The 26,318-nt window shown below is 33.8% G+C and overlaps 1 protein-coding gene across 13 annotated transcripts in view; it reads left to right on the plus strand.

Moving 5' to 3' along the window:
• The window catches only part of NBEA (neurobeachin), a 730,467-nt gene that overhangs the window by 203,683 nt on the left and 500,466 nt on the right, over positions 1 to 26,318 (plus strand). For 9 of the 13 annotated variants that reach the window (XM_047430271.1, NM_001385012.1, XM_006719803.4 and 6 more), the window contains 8 exons: positions 9,822 to 9,903; positions 10,131 to 10,254; positions 11,126 to 11,318; positions 13,064 to 14,080; positions 15,798 to 16,015; positions 18,404 to 18,557; positions 23,035 to 23,043; positions 25,320 to 25,500. In XM_047430271.1, the coding sequence (XP_047286227.1) occupies positions 9,822 to 9,903; positions 10,131 to 10,254; positions 11,126 to 11,318; positions 13,064 to 14,080; positions 15,798 to 16,015; positions 18,404 to 18,557; positions 23,035 to 23,043; positions 25,320 to 25,500 (1,978 nt within the window). The remainder of the gene's footprint in view (positions 1 to 9,821; positions 9,904 to 10,130; positions 10,255 to 11,125; positions 11,319 to 13,063; positions 14,081 to 15,797; positions 16,016 to 18,403; positions 18,558 to 23,034; positions 23,044 to 25,319; positions 25,501 to 26,318) is intronic. The other 4 variants (NM_001379245.1, XM_006719806.4, XM_006719805.4 and 1 more) reach the window with 1 other exon arrangement.

Raw genomic sequence — 26,318 nt, forward strand, 5'->3', positions numbered from 1 at the left:
CCTGGCTTCTTGTTTGAGGAGATATTGATGCTTATGTGGGAAATTATTTTTGTCTTTTAAAGAGATGATCACTAGCTGACCATGTATTACTTTCCCAGGAGTTTCTTGGTCTCATACTTGTGGTTCCATTTCCAGATCTTACTTTGGAAGGAATCTTCTGTTTGTCTGATACTGGTATCGAAAAAACAAGCATTGCCAATACTTGAAAGAAATGTTTCCCAGGGCCTGATAAACATAAAGTGACTCCAACTGTGGCCAGGAAATCCCATTCCAATAAAGAAATGGGACATAGAGTTTTGTAGCCTGCAGCTCAGGGGTAAGGTAAAGCGTTTTGATTTTGGAGTGTCATCAACATCCATGACAATGCAGTTATTGGAAGATAAGGTCCAAGAGTGGCCTTTAGGACAGAGTAACTTGCCCCTGTATCAATTAAGGAATTAATATTATTTCCTGCCATGTCGAGTTACCCAAAGCTCCTTAGTTGTGAGGACCATGCTTTTGTGGGAGCCGCCAGGAACGTTGGGTCCCTTCAGTCCTCAGTTATAACCATTATGGCCTCAAGTTTCCTTCTCTCCCTTTGGAGCTGAGGGCATTCCCTTTTCCAGTGGCCCTCCTGCTTGTAGTGAGGACAGGGTCTGGTTGGGCTCCCTTGGCTGGGACAGGTATTGCGCCTGTGTCACAGCTCCCCACACTTGAAGCAGCAACCATTACCTTTAAGTTTTCTGGTAGGTCTGCTTGGTCCATGGGTGAAGCATCCCTCTGGGTGACTCTGAGGTTGCAGGATGCTGCTTATAGTGACTGCTATCATTTGGGCCTGCTGCTGTCTCATTGTTTGCCATGCTAGGTCCTTTCAGCATATTCAGCCCTATCTCTATTATTGAATACCACAAAAGCCACATCAAGCATTTGATTAATAGGCATTTGGGATCCCAAAGCCAATTTCTGTGGTTTTCTTCTGATGTCAGGTGCTGACTGGCTGATAAAGTGTGTCCCGAGTAAAGTTTGGCAAGCATCAGTATGGGGGTCAATGTTAGTATATTTTCTTAGGGCCTCCACAAGGCATCTCTGGAACAAAGCTGGGTTTTCATCCTTTCTTTATTTCCCTTATTTTATCATAGTCCACAGGCTTGGTGTTACATTTTTTCATTCCCTTCACTAAACAAGTCACCATATGATTTCTTTTTCTTAGATCAACTTGGCCCTGTTGATAGTTCCAGTTAGGGTCATTGTTAGGCACAGATGTGGCCCTCATACCATATTCTTCAGAGTCCCCAGATGACAGATTGTTAGCATAAGCCTGGGCCTCTGCCCAAATATGCTGCTTTTCTTCAGGGGTGCAACACATGGACAAGATGTTATGAATATCTCCCCAAGTTAACTCAAATGAGAGTGAGAAAGCCCAGAATTCCTTCATGAATTTAGTTGAAAATCAAAGGTACATGCACCTGATGAATGATCCCAGCATCCCCATTGGCTACCTCCCTAAGTGGACATAACTTAGAATGGTCCCTTAGGAGGGTAGGAAACACCACTGCAGGTGACCCCAGCAGGGCTCAGTTCCCTTGGTAGGGAAGGTTATATAGGATGTTAAGGAGGCGGACTAGTAGGAGTCTGGGTGCTGGAGACAGTGGAACTAGGAGAAGACTGAGGACTTAAAGGTGGAGCTGGGTAAGAGGGAGAAGCTGTGGGTGCCAGACTGTGTCTGGGTCAGGAGGTGAGGGAAGGCTCTGGATTAGTTATTTGATATTTCCTAATTCCAACTAATTAGTTGTTTGATATTTTCCAAAAGGGGATCATTTAGGATATCTGGTTCCCCATTTGGTTCCCTTAAAGGAAAGGGTGTGAGTATAACAGAGGCAGGAATTCCTACAAAGCTCAGGGTTTTGATAAAGAGCTATGAAGGCCTGTACATACAATATTTGAGTCCATTTCTTCTGATGTTCACAAAAAACGATCTAATTACAAGATGGTATTAAAATTTAGGGTCCTGTTCTTTGGCTGTTGCACCCCATTTTCTGAAAGAGAGTTACCCTTGGCTTTGACTTGTTCTTGGGACAACCAACTGCCAGTGATTCTAAAATGAGGCTGATGATGCTCCAGGCTGGCTCATCATAAAGATAATACTGGTGGGCTGGGCGAGGTTTCCAAACACTGGTGGGACCTTGACCCCAGCTGGTGTTCGGGCTCTTGATAATAGGAGTTCAAGGATGAGTCACAAAATAGTGATAGCATGGAGATTTCTTGCAAAGAGAAAAGTACAAACTCAAGAAAGGGGAGTGTGGGTGTACTCAAGAGAAAGAGTTGCATGCAAGGGGGTTTAAGGCTGCTTCCTTTATGCACAAATAAAGTTTTATAGAACATAACTCATTAAGTAAAGTCCATTGGTCACTTGACACTACAGAGTTGAGTAGTTGTAATGGAGATTATATGATCCACAAATCTTAAAATACTATCTGATCTTATCTATAAAAAGTTTGTTGACCACTGCTCTACAGCAGCACAGAGAAATTTAACTCCCCTCTGTTGTTCTTTTTATTACAAGCTGTATTATAGTCTTCTGTCAGAATTAATATTCATCATTGCAAAAACTTGGAAAATGTAGAAAAGCACCAAAATAAAATTTAGCAAATACTGATTAATACTTAAGAATATATATATATATTTCTCAACTCATACACATATGCACACAGAACTTTTATAAAATGTTATCCTAAATATAGTTTTCTTGTCCAGCTTTTTGCACTTATAATTACAAATATATTTATCACAAAATATTTATCTATAGCTGGGAAGGCAAACTTTTCTGGTAAAGGGACAGATAGTAATATTTCAGGCTTTGTGGGCTATACAGTATCTGTCACAACTACTCAAATCTGTTGTAGCTCAGAAGCAGCCATAGACAGTATGAACCAGACAGGCTGTGTACCAGTAAAACTGTATTACAGAAACAGGTGGCAGGCTAGATTTAGCCCACAGGCCATAGTTTTCTGACCCCTGCTCTATAATATTACTTTTAACTACTTAATTTTTTCTCTATTTTATCAGTAAATTTAAGAGTGGCTGCTCTTTAGATTAGTGAGGAAATCTACTGACTGCTCTGAATTGTTTGTTTGTTTGTTTCTGAGCTTAATATTCCGACTTTGTGTCAATCATTCCACAAATCACAAGATTAGTAGACTATGCCTTTCTGAACAATGCCTTTTTGAATTATAGTAGTGTTTTAATATTGTTTCAATATTTGGCATGCAGAACTGAATAAGTACTAACACAATGGCTTTTCCCTATGCAGAGTATAATGAGGTCATTTTCTTTCTTTATTCTGATATTGTATTTCCCTCATCATAGTAACTGTTTTTTATTGGGCACTTCTTATGACAAACATGGTAAATTCTTTATGTACATTGTTTCAGATCTTATAACTACCCTATGATAATGGTATTTTTTTTGCTTGTGAAAACAGACAAACTAAGACTCACAGGTTAAATAATTTGCTGTATGTCATGCCACTAATAAATAATCATAAAATAGGTAGGTTCCATGATATATATACATAATGCAAAAATGTCAGAATCTCTCCTCAGTTGACAGCATTAAAATCCTCCTCTGAATCAAAACCTGCTACAATATCAGATTAGGCTTCTGAAGGCTAGTGCCTAATATTCATGAACACGTGTTTATGTTTTGATTTTTTGGACCTACTAACTGGTTTGGTCAATGATGCCTATGTAAGTTTTTAATCATTGTTTTACCTATGTGAATTTTTGAGCATCTGCTTATTTTGACCTCTTATCCATAATAGAGAGTCTGAGTAGTCAGTGCAACTTTATATTGAGTGTAGCATAATAACATAATATGTTGAATTTGAAAAACCATTGTGTAGTACTAACCTTTAAATAAGAAAATTTCATATACATGTATACACACATATATGTATTTCTATTAGTCTTCCTGAAAAGTGACTCAACACAAGTACAGCAGCGTTTTTACCCACCACCTATACTCCTGTGTATACCTAGTATCCAGATTTTGGTCTCTGGTGATATTCTACACAAAACAAAGCCAACTAATTGCTGGTCCTGTGTCTTAGATGAGGAAAACTCAAGATAAGTTTGAATTCTCTGATACTGGATGTGGGATGAGGCAGAGCTCCTGAAATGATGAAGGAACCAACTTACAGACCTCTGACCAATTTTAGTAATAATACTTGTTTTTAAAATAGAATAATGTTTATGGTTACTTTAAATAATTTTTTCAAGGACTTTGAGTTTATAATGAATGCATATTCTAAAAAGAAAAGTTAATGTAAGTGTACAAAATGCCAAAAGAGAGAGATGATAAATGATTGGTTATCATTGTTAATCCTACAAAATAGCAGAAAGAGTCTTCAACATAAGCTTTAATACTATGGCCAAACCAAATTTTATTATCAGAATGACAGGGCAGTGGATTACTGTTTCTGGATCACCAGAGTTTAAACATCACATCTTTTGCTGTGTCGCATCTAGTTGCAAAAAGATTAACTTGTGTGATGGGTATCAATTTAATTTTTGTTAACATAGTAAAGGAAATTTAACTGAAAAAGGAAATCGCTTCCAGACTCTCTGCTTAGGTTTAATTCATCTTGTTAGCATCAACCAGGTTGTGTACTCTTAGCAAGAATTAGTTGTTTGATAATCCAGAGTTTGAAATGTTTTTTTAATCTTCATTTTCTTTTTTCTGTTTGGGGAAATCACCTTAATCTCAGCAATGCATCAGAATAAATATTACTACAACTCTACGAATGTGTAAGATTAAGTGCAGAAATAATAAAGAACCAACTTATGGTGTTGATAATGATATTTTAGAGTAGAGTAGAGTAGAGTAGAGTAGAGTAGAGTAGGAGGCCAGGCACAGTGACTCATGCATGTAATCCCAGCACTTTGGAAGGCTGAGGTGGGTGGATCACTTGAGATCAGGAGTTTAAGACCAGCCTATCCAACATGGTGAAACCCAGTCTCTACTAAAAATACAAAAGATTTAGCCAAGTGTGGTGCTGTGCACCTGTAATTCCAGTTACTCGGGAAGCTGAAGTAGAATAGCTTGAACCTGGGAGGCAGAGGTTGCAGCGAACTGAGATTGTTCTACTGCACTCCAGCCTGGTCGACAAACAAGACACTGGCTCTAAAAAAAAAAAAAAAAGAAAAGAAATTTGTTATTTTAATAATTTTTTTGAAGTCTTATTAGGATAAAGACTATGTTATAGTGACCTTTGAAACTTTTAAGTTTGATAAGATGCTTGTAATATAATAAACAATAAATTTGAAGTCACAGGCCGGGCTCGGTGGCTCACGCCTATAATCCCAGCACTTTGGGAGGCCGAGGTGGGTGGATCAACTGAGGTTGGGAGTTCGAGACCAGCCTGACCAACATGGAGAAACCCCATCACTACTAAATATACAAAATTAGCCAGGCGTGGTGGCGCATGCCTGTAATTACAGCTACTCAGGAGGCAGAGGCAGGAGAATCGCTTGAACCCGGGAGGTGGAGGTTGCGGTGAGCCGAGATTATGCCATTGCACTCCAGCCTGAGCAAGAAGAGCAAAACTCTGTCTCAAAAAAAAAAAAAAAAAATTAAGGCACAAAATCAGATTTTTAGCAGGACATGTCAGACAACATTGTATAAGTTGTGAAGATGTAAAAATCTATCTTGATTATTTTGAAAACCAAAAAAAATTAATAAATTATTTATGTCTATAGTTTTCTGAGGTGAATTTATTCTGTAGGATATATACTAAGAAGTGAGTTAACTTTAATGGACCTCTTTTTGAAATTACTCAAAACTATTTTATATACATATTATTTAGGAATTGTAATATTTATGAAACTTATCTTTTAAATTCTATTTGTATCTTTAGTTTTGCTTTGTTACTCCATCTCTAAATTATGAGTAATTATGTTTTCCTTTTGTTAATGATTTGTAGTACTCTCTAATACACTTAAGAATTGTTTGATTGTAGAATATGTTTTCTGCAGGCAAAACAAGTAGATTTTTATGTTTAATACACTTGTAAATCTCAGCAATAATATCTGTTTCATTACTTCATTGTGATATTATTTTTGCTTTATGGGTTCTCTTTGCATACTCTTCCCTTAATTTAGTTAAACATGTAGTGGTGACACAAGGAGCCAAATGTAAGATCTTATAACCTAAATGAGAGCTTTGTTCCTTATAGTAATAACTAACCAATTTAAAGGAAAACATATATTTTTTAAATTAACTGTTTCTATAAGGATATAACAATTTATGAGTGCAATCATTTTACGAGTTAGTCAACTTTAAGCACTTAATAATCAAAGTTTTTCTCAAAATTATAGAATTTCAGAGGTGGACAGTATGTTAGATACCATCTTATTCAAACTTTCTATTCACAGAAAAAGAAAGTCACAAAGTTAGGTAGCTTGTCCAAACCTGTAAAGATTCTCTGACCCAAATACAGTGGCAGTTAGATGCAACAGCAGGGTTAATAGTTTGCCTTTTTTTTAACCACCCCATCTCAAAAAGTTGAGCCTACTAATACTACAAAATTTATGCATGATGAAGCTGGGGAGCAGGTGCATCAGAAAGATAGCTTCAGTAGCCCCTGCTTCAGCCTAAAGTTCTGTAACACATGAATTGCAAAATAATTCCATTTATAAAATGAAATTTCAATGTGTAATGCTGGGCTCAGGTGTATCTCTGTAAATAGCATGTAAAGTTACCTCCATGCTTATGATTCATTGTTGTTTCCCTCCCTGTCGATTACCTGTATTATAGCCACTGGGGACATGTGGCTGTTGAACACTTAAAATGTGGCTGGTATGAATTGAGATGTGCTCTAAGTGTTAAATACACATTGGTTTTCATGTCCATATCCAGCTCTGAACCTCTGTACAATTTTGTTTTAGTGGGGGTTTGGGGTTACTATGCATATCTCTTACCAATCCAGTCAAACCTTTGGGGCCCATCTTGAGTCCTGCTCTTTCATTAGAATGTTTGGGTCTACATTCATCTCTTTTTATTTATATTTCATTATTCCCTTTCTCCCTTTTTAAACTTACATAGGTTCTTTTTTTTTTTTTTTTTTTGAGACAGAGTCTCACTCTGTCGCCCAGGCTGCAGTGGCGTGATCTCGGCTCACTGCAAGCTCCACCTCCCAAGTTCACGCCATTCTCCTGCCTCAGCCTCCTGAGTAGCTGGGACTACAGGTGCCTGCCACCACACCCGGGTAATTTTTTGTATTTTTTAGTAGAGACAGGGTTTCACCGTGTTAGCCAGGATGGTCTCGATCTCCTGACCTTGTGATCCACCCACCTCGGCCTCCCAAAGTGCTGGGATTACAGGTGTGAGCCACCATGCCTGGCCACATAGGTTCTTAATGATAGTCTATCATGTTTTGTTACTTTATTGGGGCATGCATTTATGCCTGCCTCCAGAACAATAATTAAATAAATTGCTACTAGAAATGAAGTTGCACCTAGCAATGTATTTTCAGTCTGCAAACATTTAGCAGAGGGAGGGCACATAACTGGTTATTAATAAATACATGTTGAATTGAGTTTCTGAGTATATGTTTGTCATTTTAAAAACCTTTATATTTGAATATGTTATAGTTTTCAAAGCACTTTCACATATGGAGCTTTATTTAATCTTCCTAGCAGTTTTATTAGATAGGCAAGGCAGTTATTCTTTTCATTGTTAGATGATAAAGTAGGGACTTAAAAAGACAATATAAAAACTGGTGACACTTTTGTTTCCTGTGCAATGTGATTTCTTCTCTTTTGGTTGAAAACACTTTAACTATCACGGGAGAGTAGGTCCTGATTTCCTTTAAGCTCGTCTGAAGTTATTTTGAATCCTTTATTTATAACCACAATTTTCTTGGATCTCATCCACTGGGCTATAGGTACACACCAGGGTCTTCGGGGCAAGTTGTTGTGAAAACTACTTATACGTATATACCAAGCAATAAGTGATTGTTCTTTAGTATATGGTTTTCAAATAAATTTTATCTCGTGTCAACTCCGTTTGATTAGGAGTGCATGTTTGGGGTCCTTTGTTTAGAAAGTTGTGAAATGCTGTTTAGTTTTAACAAGTAAGTGTTTAGTTTCATCAGAGGTATGAGAATGAGGGGAACGGGGGTAATTAAATGCTATATTCTTTAATAAAGTAGGTCAGTTTTTATTTCAGGTCAATATCTTTTTTATGAACATTCCTAATATACTTATGTAAATGTCCTGTCTTAGTCTGAGCAGAAGGGGAAGGAAAATGAAACTTCTGGATGTCGTGGTCCTTTTCTAATCAGAAGAGACCATCCCTCTCTCTCAATTTGCTTTTTCCATCTTCAGCTTCTACAATATAGCTATGTTCAATTGTCCTTTCAACTAACGTTGGTGGTTTTGCAGCAGTTTTTGTACTTGACTTAGGTTTAACTGTTTATTCAGAATTTGCCATGTTAAAGCTAAACAGGAAATTAAATCACAGATATAAAATGATGTCTGTATTAAATATAACCTCATAGGGTTTATGTAAGAGATAAACACAAACTCAAGCCTAAAATACAGTGAGCAGTTGTACATACATTATTGATATATAATTAGGTTAATTATTCTTTAATTTAACAAATATTTACTGAATGCTGTTGTGTGTCAGGCATTAGTGCTGATTACTAGGAATATAACAGTGAAGATGATGTTCAAAATCCTGCTCCCACATTTTAGTGGGAAAGTTAGTAAATGTTTTAGAATTTTCTCTTTCCTTTATTTGGTCAACTGTTTTTTTGTATTTGAAAGGAATAATTTAAAAAACTCATTAGTAAATGACAATGAGCCACATTGTTAGGAAGAACTTTCCCTTGTCACACTTACTGAAGTAGGGGCCAGATGTGGTGGCTCATGCATTTAATCCCAGCACTTTGAGAAGCTGAAGCAGGAGGATCTCAGGAGCCCAGGAGTTCAAGATGAGCCTGGGCGATAAAGTGGACCCCATCTTTACCAAAAAATGAGAAAAATAATTAGCTGTGTGTGTTGGCATGAACCTGTAGCCCCAGCTACTTGGGAGACTTAGGCAGGAGGATCACTTGAGTCCAGGAGTTGGAGGCTGCAATGAGCCATGATTGTGCCGCTGCAGTCCAGCCTGGGGGTACCATAGTGAGATTCTGTCTCTAAAAAAAAAAAAAAAAAAAAAAAAAGTAGTTCATAAATAATTTTAGGAACACTGAAAAGGCATTTCAAACAATAAATTCATTAATTTCCTAATCTTTCCTTCTATAGATACTGGTTCTGGTTTTGTATGTATAAATAATAAATAAAATTTGGTGAATACAGAGTTAAAGAGTTTAGAAGTATGTGGAATTCATTAAAAAGTCTCTTTAGGGCTGGGCATGGTGGCTCACACCTGTAACCCCAGCACTTTGGGAGGCTGAGGCGGGTGGATCATCTGAGGTCAGGAGTTCGAGACCAGCCTGATCAATATGGTGAAACCCTGTCTCTACTAAAAATACAAAAAATTAGCCAGGCGTGGTGGCACATGCCTGTAATCCCAGCTATTTGGGAGACTGAGGGAAGAGAGTCACTTGAACCCATGAGGTGGAGGTTGAAGCCAAGATTGCACCATTGCACTCCAACCTGGGCAACAAGAGTGAAACTCCGTCTTGAAAGAAAGAAAGAAAAAAGTCCCTTTAGAAGAGATGTTTCTTTTGGTTTGGACTGCATTGACATTTCTTTTGCAGGTTCATTGTATATCTATATTTTGCAATTATTATTTAAATTGTTTTCTAAATGAAGTTCAAATTCTTCATTTTTCAGATCTTGACAGAACAAGTATGTACTCAGGTCGTACACAAACCACATCCAGAGCCAGATTCTACAGTGAAAATTCAGAATCCAAGTGAGCAAATGGCAGTTCTTTACTGTATTGTGGTAGGCGCATGGCAACATATGAGACTAAATCAAAACTTTTCCTAACCCCTTAAATCATTATGGTGTTTACCTAGTTCATGACAGTTTTAACTCACCTTTTATAGTGTTAAGTATTTATTTGAAAGTTGGTAATACTTTTTGAGTTGAACATAGGATATGGTTACAAATCTACAAGTTTTTTTTCTTTGTTTACAGTGATTCTTAAAGTGGTGGCAACTTTGTTAAAAAACTCTACACCAAGTGCAGAGCTGATGGAAGTTCGTCGTTTATTTTTATCTGATATGATAAAACTTTTCAGTAACAGCCGTGAAAATAGAAGGTAAGCAGTTTGGATACTGTAACAACACTTTATTCCATAATTAATATTTTCTCTCTTTTAGATTTTCAATTCATTTCAAATCTTTTCCATATTGCTAAATACTTTTAATCATCAGAAAAGGCATTTTATGTTTCTTTGACATAATCTGTATTCGGTATTCTTCTATTTATTTTTATATTATTTTTATTTTGTTACGTGGATATTATATTTTAATTGTATATATGAATATACATATAAACAAACTCTTATTTAGAATGTAATATCCCTTTTAGTGGTACCTATCTATCACCAATGGAACTTTCAGTTGTAATTGTGTTGGATTTCCCCATTTTCATCTATGCTTTCCACCCCATATTTCTTATGGCCGAATGTTGTGCATTTTTAAGCTAGTTAGCTTGAACATGGGGTAAAGTCTGAGGCCATGAACTCTGGGGTAGTCATTGCCTGAGTCTATAATTTAACAAATATTGATTGAGTGCCTACTGTGTTCAGTGTAAGACTTTGTGCTACACAAGATAGTCTTAGTACACAGTCTCAGTACATTCCAGTGGGAAACCATAAAGCAATGATTAATGTATAATGTGTTAAGTACATTGTGAGTGCTAAAGGTGGTGAGAAAGTAGAGAAGCAATAAGTAAATCTGACTGTGAAAGTTAGGAAAATGATTTTGAATGATAATTAGGATTTTTCCTGGTAGAGAAATAAGAGAAAGTCATTCCAAGTATAGAATATATAACGTGCAGCATGACTGTACACCTTGCTTTACTGAGGTCAGATCATATTTTCACTATTTTATTTATCAAAGTTTCAAAATAGTAAATTCTAACTTAATTTGGATATTTTTAATGAGATCAAATTTTTTTCTCCCTAGATGCTTATTGCAGTGTTCAGTGTGGCAGGATTGGATGTTTTCTCTTGGCTATATCAATCCTAAAAATTCTGAGGAACAGAAGATTACCGAAATGGTCTACAATATCTTCCGGATTCTTTTGTATCATGCAATAAAATATGAATGGGGAGGCTGGAGAGTCTGGGTGGATACCCTCTCAATAGCCCATTCCAAGGTAACACGGGATTTAACATTTTAACATCATCAGAGTTATTGCAGTGGATTAAATGGCTACAAACATGCATCTGGTGCCATCTTGTGGGCATCTTAGATTTTGACAGATTCCTGTATCTCAGTTTTGTATTTTTCCCTCATTGTTCATAGACTGTTAGAACTTGAAAGTGGCTTATAGATGAATTAATTCAAACCCCAAATTTATAAATCAGGAGTTTTATACCCAAAGCTGACATACATCTGTTTTATAGCAAATCTGGGAACTTTAATCTGAGCCACTTGCTCTTTCAACTGGTTCTTGGAAGAATATTTTATGAAATAGTCTCTGAAATATACTTTTTAAGACTTTTTTTTAAGAAGTCAGATTTTTTTATTTCCAAGTGAATCATAAATACAGTGTTTAAGTTTAGTGGTATTTTAATTGCTTTATCTTTTCTTTATTTTTAATCTTAAAAATCTGTATGTCTATTTTAAGTATTATTTGATCTTTGGTAAAATGAAATAGTGAATTAAACTGTACAAGTATATACACATTAGATTCTGGAAATTCAGAGTTATGGGTTTCTCATCATGAAGTGTTATAGAAGAAGCATGGGTGTCAGAAGTATGGCTTTTAATTTAGTCTGTGCCATAATTGAGTTTTGTGATTTTAGGAGACTCATTAAGTCTTCTTGAACACGAGTTAGAAAAAAATGTTTAAAAGGATAGATAGTAAATATTATAGGCTGTGTGGGCTCTATAGCCTCTGATGCAGCTACTCAACTCTGCCGTTCAGTGTGAAAGACAATACATAATGTAAATGAATGATCATGGCTTTGTTTGAATAAACCTTTATTCACCCAAAGAGGTGATAAGCAGTTTTGTCCCATGGGCCTTATGTTACCAACCCCCACTTTTGGGACTTGCTTTCTTCTTCTGTAAAATTAAGGGGATTTTTGTATTATGAGATATTCTTTAAAGGATGGTCCCCCCAATCTAAAATTCTGTTAACTTATTTAAATATACATTAATAGAACCCATGTCTGTAAGAGAAAGTCTGTGAACTTTAAAAAATATTAGAAAAGCTTTTGTTTCAATTATAAATTTACATTTTGTGAAGTATTGACACCTCAGATTTATCATTGCTTTAACAAATTTGAAAATAGCAAAGAAAAAGACATTGCAGGTCTTTGTGCAAAAAAAAAGTATTCTGATTATTAATAAAGAAGCCTAAGTAAAGTAACAAAGCCAAAACAGCTTATATAAGGATAAAACTGTGATATTTTAATAGCTTGTAAATTTATATATTTAATGATATGTGTGAATTTTTTAACATCAGTTGTTGGGAAGGGTGCACATATGAGCAATAGATGGTGAAAACCAACATAGTAATAGTACTTTGGTTATTGTATATTATTAGCTGCTTATTCTCTGTTTAAGCTTACATAAATGTGTGGAAGTTAACTGGCATATTTGGTTTGGGTAACATTGAAATACTTAGCCTAAAAGAAAATAGCTTTTAATATTGCTGAGTTATCTGTGTGATTTTGGCAATCCTTATAATAAATCATATATAGCTGTATTTGTTGATTATTTCCAGTTACTTAATGAAACTAAGCACTTGCTTTAGGACTAACAAATGCCAGCTTTGAAGTCTTAAACTTTCTGGCATTATTTTTTCTATTTCCACAATTTAATTTGTATTATTTAGTTTTTTCTTTTTGATATGTACAAAATGCCTTAATGTTTTCTTTACTTATTCCTAAGGTCACTTATGAAGCTCATAAGGAATACCTAGCCAAAATGTATGAGGAATATCAAAGACAAGAGGAGGAAAACATTAAAAAGGGAAAGAAAGGGAATGTGAGCACCATCTCTGGTCTTTCATCACAGACAACAGGAGCAAAAGGTGGAATGGAAATTCGAGAGATAGAAGATCTTTCACAAAGCCAGAGCCCAGAAAGTGAGACCGATTACCCTGTCAGCACAGATACTCGAGACTTACTCATGTCAACAAAAGTGTCAGATGATATTCTTGGAAATTCAGATAGACCAGGAAGTGGTGTACATGTGGAAGTACATGATCTTTTAGTAGATATAAAAGCAGAGAAAGTGGAAGCAACAGAAGTAAAGCTCGATGATATGGATTTATCACCGGAGACTTTAGTAGGTGGAGAGAATGGTGCCCTTGTGGAGGTTGAATCTCTGTTGGATAATGTATATAGTGCTGCTGTTGAGAAACTCCAGAACAATGTACATGGAAGTGTTGGTATCATTAAAAAAAATGAAGAAAAGGATAATGGTCCATTGATAACATTAGCAGATGAGAAAGAAGACCTTCCCAATAGTAGTACATCATTTCTCTTTGATAAAATACCCAAACAGGAGGAAAAACTACTTCCTGAACTTTCTAGCAATCACATTATTCCAAATATTCAGGACACACAAGTACATCTTGGTGTTAGTGATGATCTTGGATTGCTTGCTCACATGACCGGTAGCGTAGACTTAACTTGTACATCCAGTATAATAGAAGAAAAAGAATTCAAAATCCATACAACTTCAGATGGAATGAGCAGTATTTCTGAAAGAGACTTAGCGTCATCAACTAAGGGGCTGGAGTATGCTGAAATGACTGCTACAACTCTGGAAACTGAGTCTTCTAGTAGCAAAATTGTACCAAATATTGATGCAGGAAGTATAATTTCAGATACTGAAAGGTCTGACGATGGCAAAGAATCAGGAAAAGAAATCCGAAAAATCCAAACAACTACTACGACACAAGTAAGCTACCTTATATGAGTTCTAGAAATAAATAAAAATGCATTGAAGAGTTGTTAGCACCAAAACAGAGTAATTTCTTATCAGTTACTTCATGTTTATATTGAATTATAGTATAATAGTAATTTATGGAACTAAATAGTGCGGTATAATTTCATGTATGTAAGAAACTAAAAATATCTCAATTATATTTCCAACTCTGCCACATTCTTCTGTGTAACTTTGCTCAACCTCTCTGGGCCTAAGTTTCCTTATCTAGTACAAGAGGTTGTACTAAAGGATGACCTTTAAGGTCTCTGCCAGTTCTAACATTTTATAACTCTGTGACTACATTTACACATTTTGTACTCAAGATCTTCATTCTGAATACTTGATTAATTTTAACCTTTTAAGCTTCAGGCCCAACCCTGTTCTGTGGATTATAGAAAAGAGGACTTGGAGCCCAGATTGAACTGATAAATGAAGGGGAAGGGAAAAGGGAACTGTTATTTATCCAGTGCCTACTATGTTCCGGGCACTGTGCTATATGTTTTCAGATTTAATCCTCACAACAACCCTGTGAGGTAGGTAATATGGCTGAGAAAAATTAGAATTGTTAGCAGTGAGAATTTTCTGTTCAACCACATGAATAGAAATTTGTTATAAGACAATTAAAGACTCTTAGGTCTGGTTGTTAGGAAATGTTAGTGCTTCAGTTTTGACCTCACTGGAATAAAGCTAAAAACAGATGATGTTTTCTGATATGGATTTTAATTGTTGAGCTCTGAGTTATGACTGTTTCTTTATTTTCTAGGATAAATAATACCTTATGGTTAAGAGTTGAAGAAATAAGAATACATTTACCGTTAATGACTTGGGTTTTGTTATCCTCTGGGTGCCCCACTTGCCTTTTAATGTCATTGAAAATACATTGAATGTGTTTCCATTAGGTTTATACTATGAAGAGTAAACCATGCCTGTCTTGTGTCTTTGTACTCCAGTAAGAATCCTTCATAATATATCGTGTGTGGGGAAAGTATTTTTATTTTTTCTCTAACTGCCAATTTCCATTTTTGTGGCAGTTGCATTGTAGTGATAATTGGCAGGAGATGAGCATATTGAATTAGATACAGATGTAAAATAAAGGAAAACATCGTGCGTTGTTTATTGAACAATAGGCTTGCCTGTTGAACACTAGGCTTGCCTGTTTTTCATTTGGAGTTTATAGACATTTTTCTGGTTTGTTTTCTAACTTATCAAATGCATTTGTGTTTTTGAATTGAAGTACTGTAAGTGAAACAGACTTCAAAGTTAACTTGAAACTGTCAAGTAATATTTTTTCTAATCTTGTGCTTTAGTTACAATTAGTTGATGACATATATCCAGTATACTTCACTGTGTATATGCTCACTTCATTAAGGAAGTAATGTGGTCTAATTTAAAGACTCTTAATGGGGTAAAGGGGTCTGGTTTTCAGTGTGAACTTTGGTGTTAACTTTAGGTATTTGATTATCTTGCCTAGTTTCTGCAATAGTAAAATAAAAGCAATAATGGAGACTTCAGCCCAAAAAGTTTCCTGTGCAAGGAATTACCAGGTGAATAATATATGTGAAATATATTAAACTGCTAAAGTCATATGCTAAAGCATTAAAGCATTATTCACTTTACTATACTCACAGTTTCATTTTAAAATGAGGCATTTCTTTTGTATTCCACAAAAGTTCATCTTTTCCTTCTTTAGGCTGTGCAGGGTCGGTCTATCACCCAACAAGACCGAGATCTCCGAGTTGATTTAGGATTTCGAGGAATGCCAATGACTGAGGAACAGCGACGCCAGTTTAGCCCAGGTCCACGGACTACAATGTTTCGTATTCCTGAGTTTAAATGGTCTCCAATGCACCAGCGGCTTCTCACTGATTTACTATTTGCATTAGAAACTGATGTACATGTTTGGAGGAGGTAGAAATATTTCTTTTTTATAAATTAAAAGCAAATATTTAAAATATGCCATTGCCTATTCTATTTGGTTTTGACAAAACCAAAAATCTGCCTTGATTAAAGGAATTTCCACATTTTTCTTGTATCTTGTTTAAATTAATACCATGTACTAAATTTATTAGTGATAATAATATATACTGTTTAAGTTTAAAATCACCCTGTGACATGTGTATTCAGAGCCTGTAGTATTTAAGCAGTTAGTGGATATCAGTTCAAAGATGATAACTTAGACAACAAATCTACATAAAGTAAACCATGGCCTTTCTAAATTTTCAATTTAATTTTTTAATAGTAAATGTGAAACAAATTAATTAAGAGAGCACATCATTTACATAGGCATGAATACAATTAGGAAGTCGATGGATATAAGTAGCAAGGGCAACTTAAATGATCTAGCACAACATTCTTAGAAATGTTGGCTTCCATGCTTCTCCTCATTTTCCTTTTAGGATTCAAGGTGGCTGCTTCAGCTCCCAACCTCAATTCATAAGAAACCTGCCCAAATTAAAAGGCAGAGATGACTCTTCTTCCTTCCTCTTCTTCCTGTTTTTCCTCTGCCTCCTCTTCTTCTCTCTCCTCTTTCACTTTCTCTTTTTCTTCTCCTCTTTTCTTCTTTTTTTTAAAGGAAGCCCGTCAAGAAATTTCCCCCTTATATCTCGTGAGCCAGCAGGATCACATCCTCTTTCAAAATCAATCATCAGAAAAAGAAAATGGGATTATAATGACTGGCTTTTAGAGACTAATACTGGTTAATTAACTAGTAACTAGGGTTAGGCTAGTCTTTCCTATACCCAGTCAAGCTCAATAATAAAACAAAATATAAAATGTGTGTTAGCAGGGAAAAAGTTATGACTGTTGTGGAAGAAGTCAATAAAGTCTGCCATAGAAAGATTTTACTTTTGATTTTATTTGATCAATTTGTTCTTAGACTACTCATATACTTTCATTGCTAATTGTTATATGATAAATTACCTAGAGATGGTAACTGAGGAAACCTAAATACCATGAAATACATTGCTATTAACATGAAGACCAATGTATGGAGATAAATTATGTAATTTGATAATTATAATATCAGTAGCCTCCAAGTGAGTGATACTCAGCTTTTTTTCCAACCACCTACTCTGTGTTTTTGTTTTCTTTAATGGGCTCTCATGAAATTACCCAGGTAGAATTTAATGTAATTTAAATTTTTTAAAGGTAACACTTTATTTTTAGGACAGAGAGAAACATCTTGAAATTTAAGATACACAGTGATAGATAATAATTCACAACTCTAAAAGGGTGAGAATTATTGACTCAATTTTGACCATGAAGTAATTTCTTTTTTTTAATCTTATTTTTTTCCCATTAAAAAACAGTTCAGGCTAGGTGTGGTGGCTCACACCTATAATCCCAGCACTTTGGGAGGCCAAGGCGGGAGGATAGCTGGAGCTCAGGAGTTCGAGACCAGGGCAAGACCCTGTTTTTACAAACATTAACTAGGCGTGGTGGTGTCCACCTGTAGTCCCAGCTACTCGGGAATCTCCTGGGCCCAGGGAGGTTGAGGATGCACTAAGCCATGATCCCACCACTACACTCTAGCCTGGGTGACAGCAGAGATCCTTTCTCAAAAAAAAAAAAAAAATTATATTCTTGACTGACACCAAACGAAAGCAGGGTATTTTTTTGACATCTACATTGTATGTTTTGTATGAGAACACTGTACTACCAACTTACTTTGAGATTTTTTCCTTTTCTTATTAAATAAGTTCTTGAATTTGTACTGATTTATTTATACTCCCCTATCATGTCACTTCTTTAGCAGTATACATTTCAATGTGACTAGTCAAAGGTGGGGCTGAAGTCATTGGGGATGTGACAAATTGAAACTGCCTACAAAATAGAACTTTCAGTTAAATTTTTAGGTTTTCGGTTTCAAATTTTATTTATGGTTATGAAAATTTTGAATTGGTTATATTTTGAGTTTCCATATTATTTTTAACATTAGACATACTTTTTATATTTAAAAGGTTTTGCCTTTCAACAAAAAACAATCAGATTTGGCAAAATAAATATTTTTAGCCAAATTTGTTGAGTCAGTCATATGTCTTAGAATCTAGTACTGTATTTTTCAAGCAAAGTAATAATATAATGAGTTAATATACTTGGATACAACAAAATCCTGTGGAGATGAATGCTTAGTTTTTGGTAATATGATATCTCAATTATAAATTGCTTTATTTTATAATTTAATTTTAAATATAGCTAGCTCCTACAGTTCTATAATTTTTCACTTGTTATTCTAATTGTCTAAGCTTTTCATTTAAGTAAGCCAAAACATACTCATTTCTGTTTTCTGTATTTTAGCCATTCTACAAAGTCTGTAATGGATTTTGTCAATAGCAATGAAAATATTATTTTTGTACATAACACAATTCACCTCATTTCCCAAATGGTAGACAACATCATCATTGCTTGTGGAGGAATTTTACCTTTGCTCTCTGCTGCTACATCACCAACTGTAAGTACTTTGCCTCCATCTAGTGGTTATATTTTATAAATACATGACTTTAGCATTTCAGTGGTGGTCTAGGCTATAAACACATTTTAACCAGACCTGTACTTTTTAGGCAAATTTTTAACCATTTAAATTTCTATTTCCACCACTTTTGTTTATCAGTGTTGGGTTCCAGCTGTGTGTGCTTATGAAAATGTTTCTCTGGTAATTCTGATGAATACTTCATCAGAAGAGTATTGCATTCTTCATCAAAGATATTGTATATCTCTTCAAATCTGTAGTATAAATAAACTCTTAAAATCCTTGTTATTTAACATTTTCATTTATTTACTGATTCAACATTTATTTTACAAAATCTAGCCTTGTCTTGATTTGTTTCTATATAAAACATTGAAATGTGTTAATATAATACATTTTAAAGGCATTTAATGTTAATTGTGTATGTCATTTAAAATAAAATAGGTCAATGTTAACTTTGTATTTTAGTTGTCATTAAAAACAAATTCTTTGATTCAGACCAAGGCAGACTCCATAGCTACTTGCTCAGATGGGAAAGAATATAGAATTTTGCTTCCCATATTACCCACGTTCTTGTTGCCGTATTAGAAACTCATCCTTAAGCTCAGAAAGCATACCTTTGCCAGAGGGAAATATTTCATTTTACTAAGATGTGCTTTAGTTGGTGAGACACTGTTTCCAAGTTGATCTCTAAGTGTATTTCATCATTAACAAGCTTTTTCTACATGACTCTTTTTCTTACTGTTCTTTTGTTAATGCCACCACCATCACCAGAGCAGCCTTGAAACTTCAACATTAGCAGCCATAGGCTATATCCTCACACACTTTCCCCAGGCCTTACTCTTCTGTTTTATTCATGAATTTGCTCAAGAAGTCCACAAAGGGAAGCATTCCAGTTCAGAAGGAGGAATGCAACAGAGCAAGTCACCAGTAGGGCCTTAATCAAATTAGCAGCTGAACCAAGGAAATGGAGCTAAGAAGAACAGTATAAATTGTTGATGGTGTGTGAAGAGTGCAAGTATACATACACCACTCCTTTTCTTTAATCTCTCTTTTCCTCTGGTGATTTATACCAAATTCTGGTAAATTGAGAGTTGTGTATGATTTTTAAAATGCTTTCTAATAGTGAGACATAGAGGGCATTTTTTTCTTCTCTTTTCTTTTCTTTTTTTTTTTTTTTGACAGAGTATCATTCTGTGACCCAGGCTGGAGCAGAGTAGGGCGATCTCAGCTCACTGCAACCTCCGCCTCCTGGGTTCAAGCAATTCCTCTGCCTCAGCCTCCCAAGTAGCTGGGATTATAGGTGTGCACCACCACACCCAGCTAATTTTTGTATTTTTAGTAGTTATGGGGTTTCACTATGTTGGCCAGGCTGGTTTCAAACTCCTGACCTCAAATGATCTGCCTGTCTCAACCTCCCAAAGTGCAGGGATTACAGGCATGAGCCACTGCTCCCGGCCAACGTGTTTTTTGTTTTATATATTGAAGACTGAATAAATCAATATTTTCTTTGTGACATTTTTCTTGATCATATAAATTGCATTTTGTTTTATAAATTATCATTTGTTATGAAGAAATTTTTAAAAGGTTGTATTGAAATTCACTTTGAAATGTAATATTGAATGTTTTTAAATTTTGCATGGAACATAAAATGCTTCTTATGTAAAAAAAACAGTTTAGCAATAAGTTATTTCAATTTGTATAGGTTTAAAATATTCACATTACTAAATAGTTTTCCAAATTTTAAAGGCAAAAGATCTTTAACTATTAAGATAGAATATTAAAGTAATGAAGTAAACTATAACATACATACTATTGCACCAGTCAAATTTGCTTATTTGTTTTATGATGATTGTACAGTAAAGATACTGACGCTTTGAGGTTGGCTTCCAAAATTATTACGATTCAATTTTGACCACTGTAGTTTGGAATTTAAAATTATTTATTACCTAGACTATCTCAACAGACTTGGGAATTCATTCAATTATAGAAACCTTTGTTTATTTTCTCAATTTCTATATTTCTGTTATTTTGGCCCATTAACTGTTTGGACCTATGCCTGGTTGTACAACATAGCTGATTTTATGTTTTTAGAATGAATTGCTTCCTTAAGAGAAATAGCCGAACCTTTCTCCCATTTTGTATCTGGTAGAACTATGATTGGTGCTGACTGCTGAATGTTGTTTTTCTATTATGAATGTTGTTTTTGTATTACTGGGTTGTATAATATTCTTGCTAGAAGTTGTAACATAGCAGAGGGAAAAAGTTGGGAAAGAGGAGGTTGAATAATGAGGGAAATTAAACCGAATATTTGGGCTTTTTATATTTAAATTTAAAGTGTAAAAAGCCAAAAGAGAATTTTGGAAGGGATAAGTGAAAAAAGGAAACATTGGCAACGTGAAGATTACTGAAAGGAAACATTGTCTTGTAGGTGCTTTTAGAATTTTAATCCTAGATATATGAAGAGAGATGGAAACATTTGAAACTAAGGTTTGAGTGAGCTGGTAATTTTGTTTATATATATATAGTTTTTCAGAATATTCTTGTGTGCATTTTATGAAGAAATAGGAATAATAATGGTTTATGGCAGTAGTTCACAAACTTTTGTGTATGGGGCCAGATGGGAAATAGTTTAGGTTTCATTGGCAGTATTGTTATCTGTCACAGCTAGTCAACTCTGCTGTGATAGTACAAAAGCAGCAATAGACAATACATAAACAAATATTTTTTGTCTGCTGTTTCTGTGAGATTGACATAGAAGTGGTCTCTTTTCTGCCCTGGAAATTTAGATGAGTACAGTAATTTATACTAGAGATAACATTTTTGTATTGCTGTTATAGTATCATCATCATGGAAGAAAATTTTTGAACTGTTTAATCTTAGTTGGAAGGTACATATCTTAATGGAAACTTAAGAAAAAAAGAACATATATATATTGTTTATAATGATAGTTTGAGCACCTTGAACTTAGTACTCTTGAAGAAGCAGCACTTTATGGGAGTTTCAGTTTTGCCCAGATTACTTAAATTCATATGTAGCATAGAAAATAAATTACAAAAATAGTTTCAGATCTCCGAGTTAGACCAATAGTTTTAACTGTACTCAGGGAAAAAAAATAGACCTCTTAGTATGTAGTTTGGCCAATCTTTGCTTTGGGAAAGCAGCATTATTTTTGTTGTTGTTGATTTTTTTAGTTGATGTTTCTGTGACTAGTTAATTGAATCCTCTCATTTATTCTCTAATATATTGTTTAACTTGGTCATAAATGAAAGTGAAAAATTGGAGAAGAAAAAGAAAAGCAAAGAACATGGATCAACCACAAATTGCACACTTTGTGATTTTAAGTTGACCACTTTAGTCAGCCATCCAGAACACTGAATATTATGGAGCTTAATTCAGGGCTTAATTTTCTCTGTCCCAGAAAAATAGTAGAGACTGACATTTCTAGCTCTCCTAATAGTTTCATAATTATAAGAAAGAAGAGCTGCTTTTTCTATTCTGTCCAAAAATAACAAAGTCTTAATTTTAGTTTATTTTTATTATCAGAATGTATCATAAATAGATTTGGAAAAATTATGAATAATGTTGTTGGTTTTGCTGTTCTTTTGTTTATGTCATAGGACTGATCATACTTTACTATTCTCAGGATGCTTTTATATGTTTTCCTATACAATGTACCATGAAAATAGCATATTTTAAGATTTATACTCACATGTACTTGTCAAAAATTAGAAAGAATAGTTGATGATTTTTATTGTGAAAACTAATTCTATCTGATATTTGAATATAATGAATATAATTATTAATGTAATAAGAATCTTAAACTTAGTATAATACCTATTTAATTACCTTTATTCATATTCAGGCCTCATTTAGTATATCAAGTTATTTTCTAGCATGGAAAAGTGGTTTATAAGTTATAATCTCTCAAATATTTTGTTATTTTATTAACTTCTCAGAATTTTCAACTATAGGAAGCTTTCTGTATATTTGAGAATACAAATTACATTATTTCCTTATAGAAAATTCTAGAGGTTGGTATAAATAGTTCATTTCCCTGAGTCATTTCTGCCTAAACCAGAATTGAGGTAGGGATTTTGCAGAGGCATTATGTTAGCTTATTTATTAAAATGTTCCATTAATTATAGGAAAAGATACTTGTTTTGTAAAATAGAGTATGCATTATTTCTAATATATGAACTATACTTATATATATTATTTGGGCAGAGTTACTACAATAAAAATAAGTTGAAGTCTAAATATTTGATATTTAACCTTGATCATGTATAATTTATAAAATGAAAATCTCTTCTGAGAATTTTGCTTTTAATAAAATAATCAAATATAATTTTTAAATATATTATTTTGTGTTTCAATTTTACATTGTATTTTCATTTAATTTAATAATTTCCTTTTCTTGTACTTTTTGGTCTGTTGTCTGTTTTGTCTAATGCATGTCCAGGGTTCTAAGGTTAGTATTACTTTTGTAGTAATTTTCAGCTTTCAGTTTCAAGTTTTATTTTTACTTATTTATGAAATTTTTGACTTGGTTATATTTTGAGTTTTCATATCATCTTTAACATGAGACATATCTTTTGTATATTTAAAAGAGTCATTGAAAGGATTATTTTCCCAATGCATTGATGTATTACTATTTTATTATGCACAATAATCCCTAGATTAAACTATCATATTGAACACAATGGTGTTACAGTCATATGTACAATCAGATTTTAATTGGTTCTAAGGAAAGTAAATTGGATGAAATATATTATTTTAAGATTTAATAATTGTATGAGAGTGATCTTTATTTTTTAGCCCTATCTTTTGATGCTTACATACTTCATTTTTTAAATTACTTTTATATAAAATGGAATACAAATTCTCTTTTAGACTGTTGTGTTGAAAGTGCCTTCTACTCTAAAATTTAATTTTTTCAGTCAAAAAAACACTTTGATGGATTATATGGACACCTTAATAATTCTATTTATAATTCACTCATTTTAAAATGAAAGCATAGTTTGACAGGTCAAAACACTCAAAACCATTAAATAATGAATATAGAGAGATAGCTATCTGCAATTTCAGTGATTCAAAATGATGAAGAATTTGTGAACACAGATCTAGATATTCTAAATTCTAACATTTGAAAAATTATTTATAGTATTTGATAGACCTAAGAAATGGCCAAGTTCTTCATTCCTTTATAGAACATTTTAAATTGAAAACAGATTTAAAATGAATTTTTTGCTCTTTCTTATGAGCTATGATGTCATGGTCATAGATTTTTAATTGATATTATGAAGTGATGCTGTATATTCATGAAGTGCTAAGAAGTAAAGAATCTGCATTTTAAAATCCAAGTAATGAATTAATCATTTCTTTATGCCATGTGTACTGAATTGGCATAATGTTGTAACAACTGAAAACACATTTCTGTCTCTTTCCAGGCTCATTTTAGAGAGAATGGTTTTAACCCTATTTTGCTGTTAAATGGAAGGAGGAATGGTTGTTACATTTTATACATCATTTAAAACTGAGCTTAGTTATATAATGCTTGTAGTAGCCACCTATCCTTTTTATTACCCACTTTGTGCACAAGAAATGTTTTGAGTATTTTGAGTTCTTTTTTCAGTGTTTTCTGCTCACGTTTCCATGTTAATGCTCCTGCTTCTTCCAAGCAGGAAGAAGTTTAGGTATAATGATGGCTATAAACAGTGTCAAAATGGAACATTAAATAGGAATAGATACCTATTACATATGCTAACCTTGTAGTTGAATTTATCATTTGGTTAAGAGTTAATATTGATTGGAATGGCTAGTGTGTCCATTTTCAGAAAATTTAAATAATTTTTTTTTACTTATGAAGTATTCCCTTCCTTGGTTCCTTGAGGCACTGATAAAATGAGGCCTAGTCCTAAGGAACAAAAATAATTAAAATGCTGTATAGTCCATGGTGCAAAACAAAATAAGAAATGTTGACATTGTTTAAAAAACCATAAAGTTGTGCATTTTAAGAAACACAATGCTTTGTAATATTCCCTCTGAAATCAGAAATGTAGTGAAAGTACAGTTTTCCAATCTAGAATGCTATGATTCTTTTTATTACTAGTGTTTTATAAGTCACGAATTAAATATCTATAGATGAGTTAGCGATCTTGATTATTTTTACCCTAGAGTTTTATCGTACATGTAAAGTACCTAGTAGTTTCAGTTTATTCTAAAATGGATAAGAAATTGTTATGCATTCTAATTTGACAGCCATCTCATTTTGATACTAAGTTAAATTACCATGTATTTTCCCTATTATTCATCATACATCTATAGGAAAGAAAAATCAAAGCATATATTTTTATTAATGGGAATGAAGATTTTAGAAAAGAAATATCAATTTAAAATCTTTATAAATTACAAAACAAAACTAGTATAAGTACATATATGTGGTTCTGTCTAAATATCTTTGTGAAATGATCTTAAGTTTAGGATGTCATTTTTATAACTAAAGACATTTAAAACTAATGTTGATTTTAAAATGGGCTTTTCCTTTATTCAAGGATAATTGATAGGTAAAGTAACCGAATTTGGTAACCAGCTCTGGTGATATATGGAATTAGTTGAACATTTATTTTATTTATAAAATATGGTAAATATACTAAATTTATGTTCACTTGTAGTATGTATGTATATGTATTATATTTCCAAATTTCCAAATTTTAAACAAGACTTAAATCTTCTACTTTTTTAAAGACGGAATTGGAAAATATTGAAGTGACACAAGGCATGTCAGCTGAGACAGCAGTAACTTTCCTCAGCCGGCTGATGGCTATGGTTGATGTACTTGTGTTTGCAAGCTCTCTAAATTTTAGTGAGATTGAAGCTGAGAAAAACATGTCTTCTGGAGGTTTAATGCGACAGTGCCTAAGATTAGGTAAGTCTGTTAAAACAATAGTGCATGTCAAATAATTATCTACAGAGCAGCTTTATAAAGCACTATGGTACATAAAATATTAATGATATAAGTTGATGATTATATAATATGGAGATTATCTTGAGATACAGAGATTATTTTTATAATTAATCAGAATTACTAAATTTTAAAAAATTATGCCTTCACATTGGAGATTTCACAGAACTGATCATCTTTAATGGTTCATAGTTTGAAATCAAGAGTGAAATATACTTGGAATTCTTTCAAAATCAGTAAGACTAACATTTGTCATTGAAGTGATTTTTAATGCAAATCCATTTATGAATCCAATTTTGGTAAACCAATACTGAGGGTAGTGTCCTGGCCTCACAAACATGTCAGATACACATAATGCTAGAAGGTTAAAATAAACTATCCCAATCTTACTGTTTCTTGGGGTGAACAAATGTCCCTAATAAATATTGTTATACCCATGCTGTTCACCTTTTATCTGTGTGGCAGTGAAACTTTAGCACTGAAACCTCTTAGTAAATCTGAATGAATTCTTTAGATAAGAACCATTTCTACCTCTCTTAAAAGGAACATTTATTTACACTATTTAGACTTTCAAAACCAGAAAACTGCTGTTTTTGTACTTGCCTTAGATCATGAGCAGGACATAAGAACTGCAAGGCATGAAATAGGAAGGACGTTCCTGATATGTACTGTTTTCACCCATAACTTTTAAAGATTATGTCAAAAATTCCTTTCTGATTCAAGAAAGGAACAAAGACTTGGTTTAAGAATGGTGGGATGAAACCTTTTTTTGTTTGTTTGTT

This window comes from Homo sapiens, chromosome 13 (assembly GCF_000001405.40).
Source record: "Homo sapiens chromosome 13, GRCh38.p14 Primary Assembly".
Taxonomy (NCBI): Eukaryota; Metazoa; Chordata; class Mammalia; order Primates; family Hominidae; genus Homo; species Homo sapiens.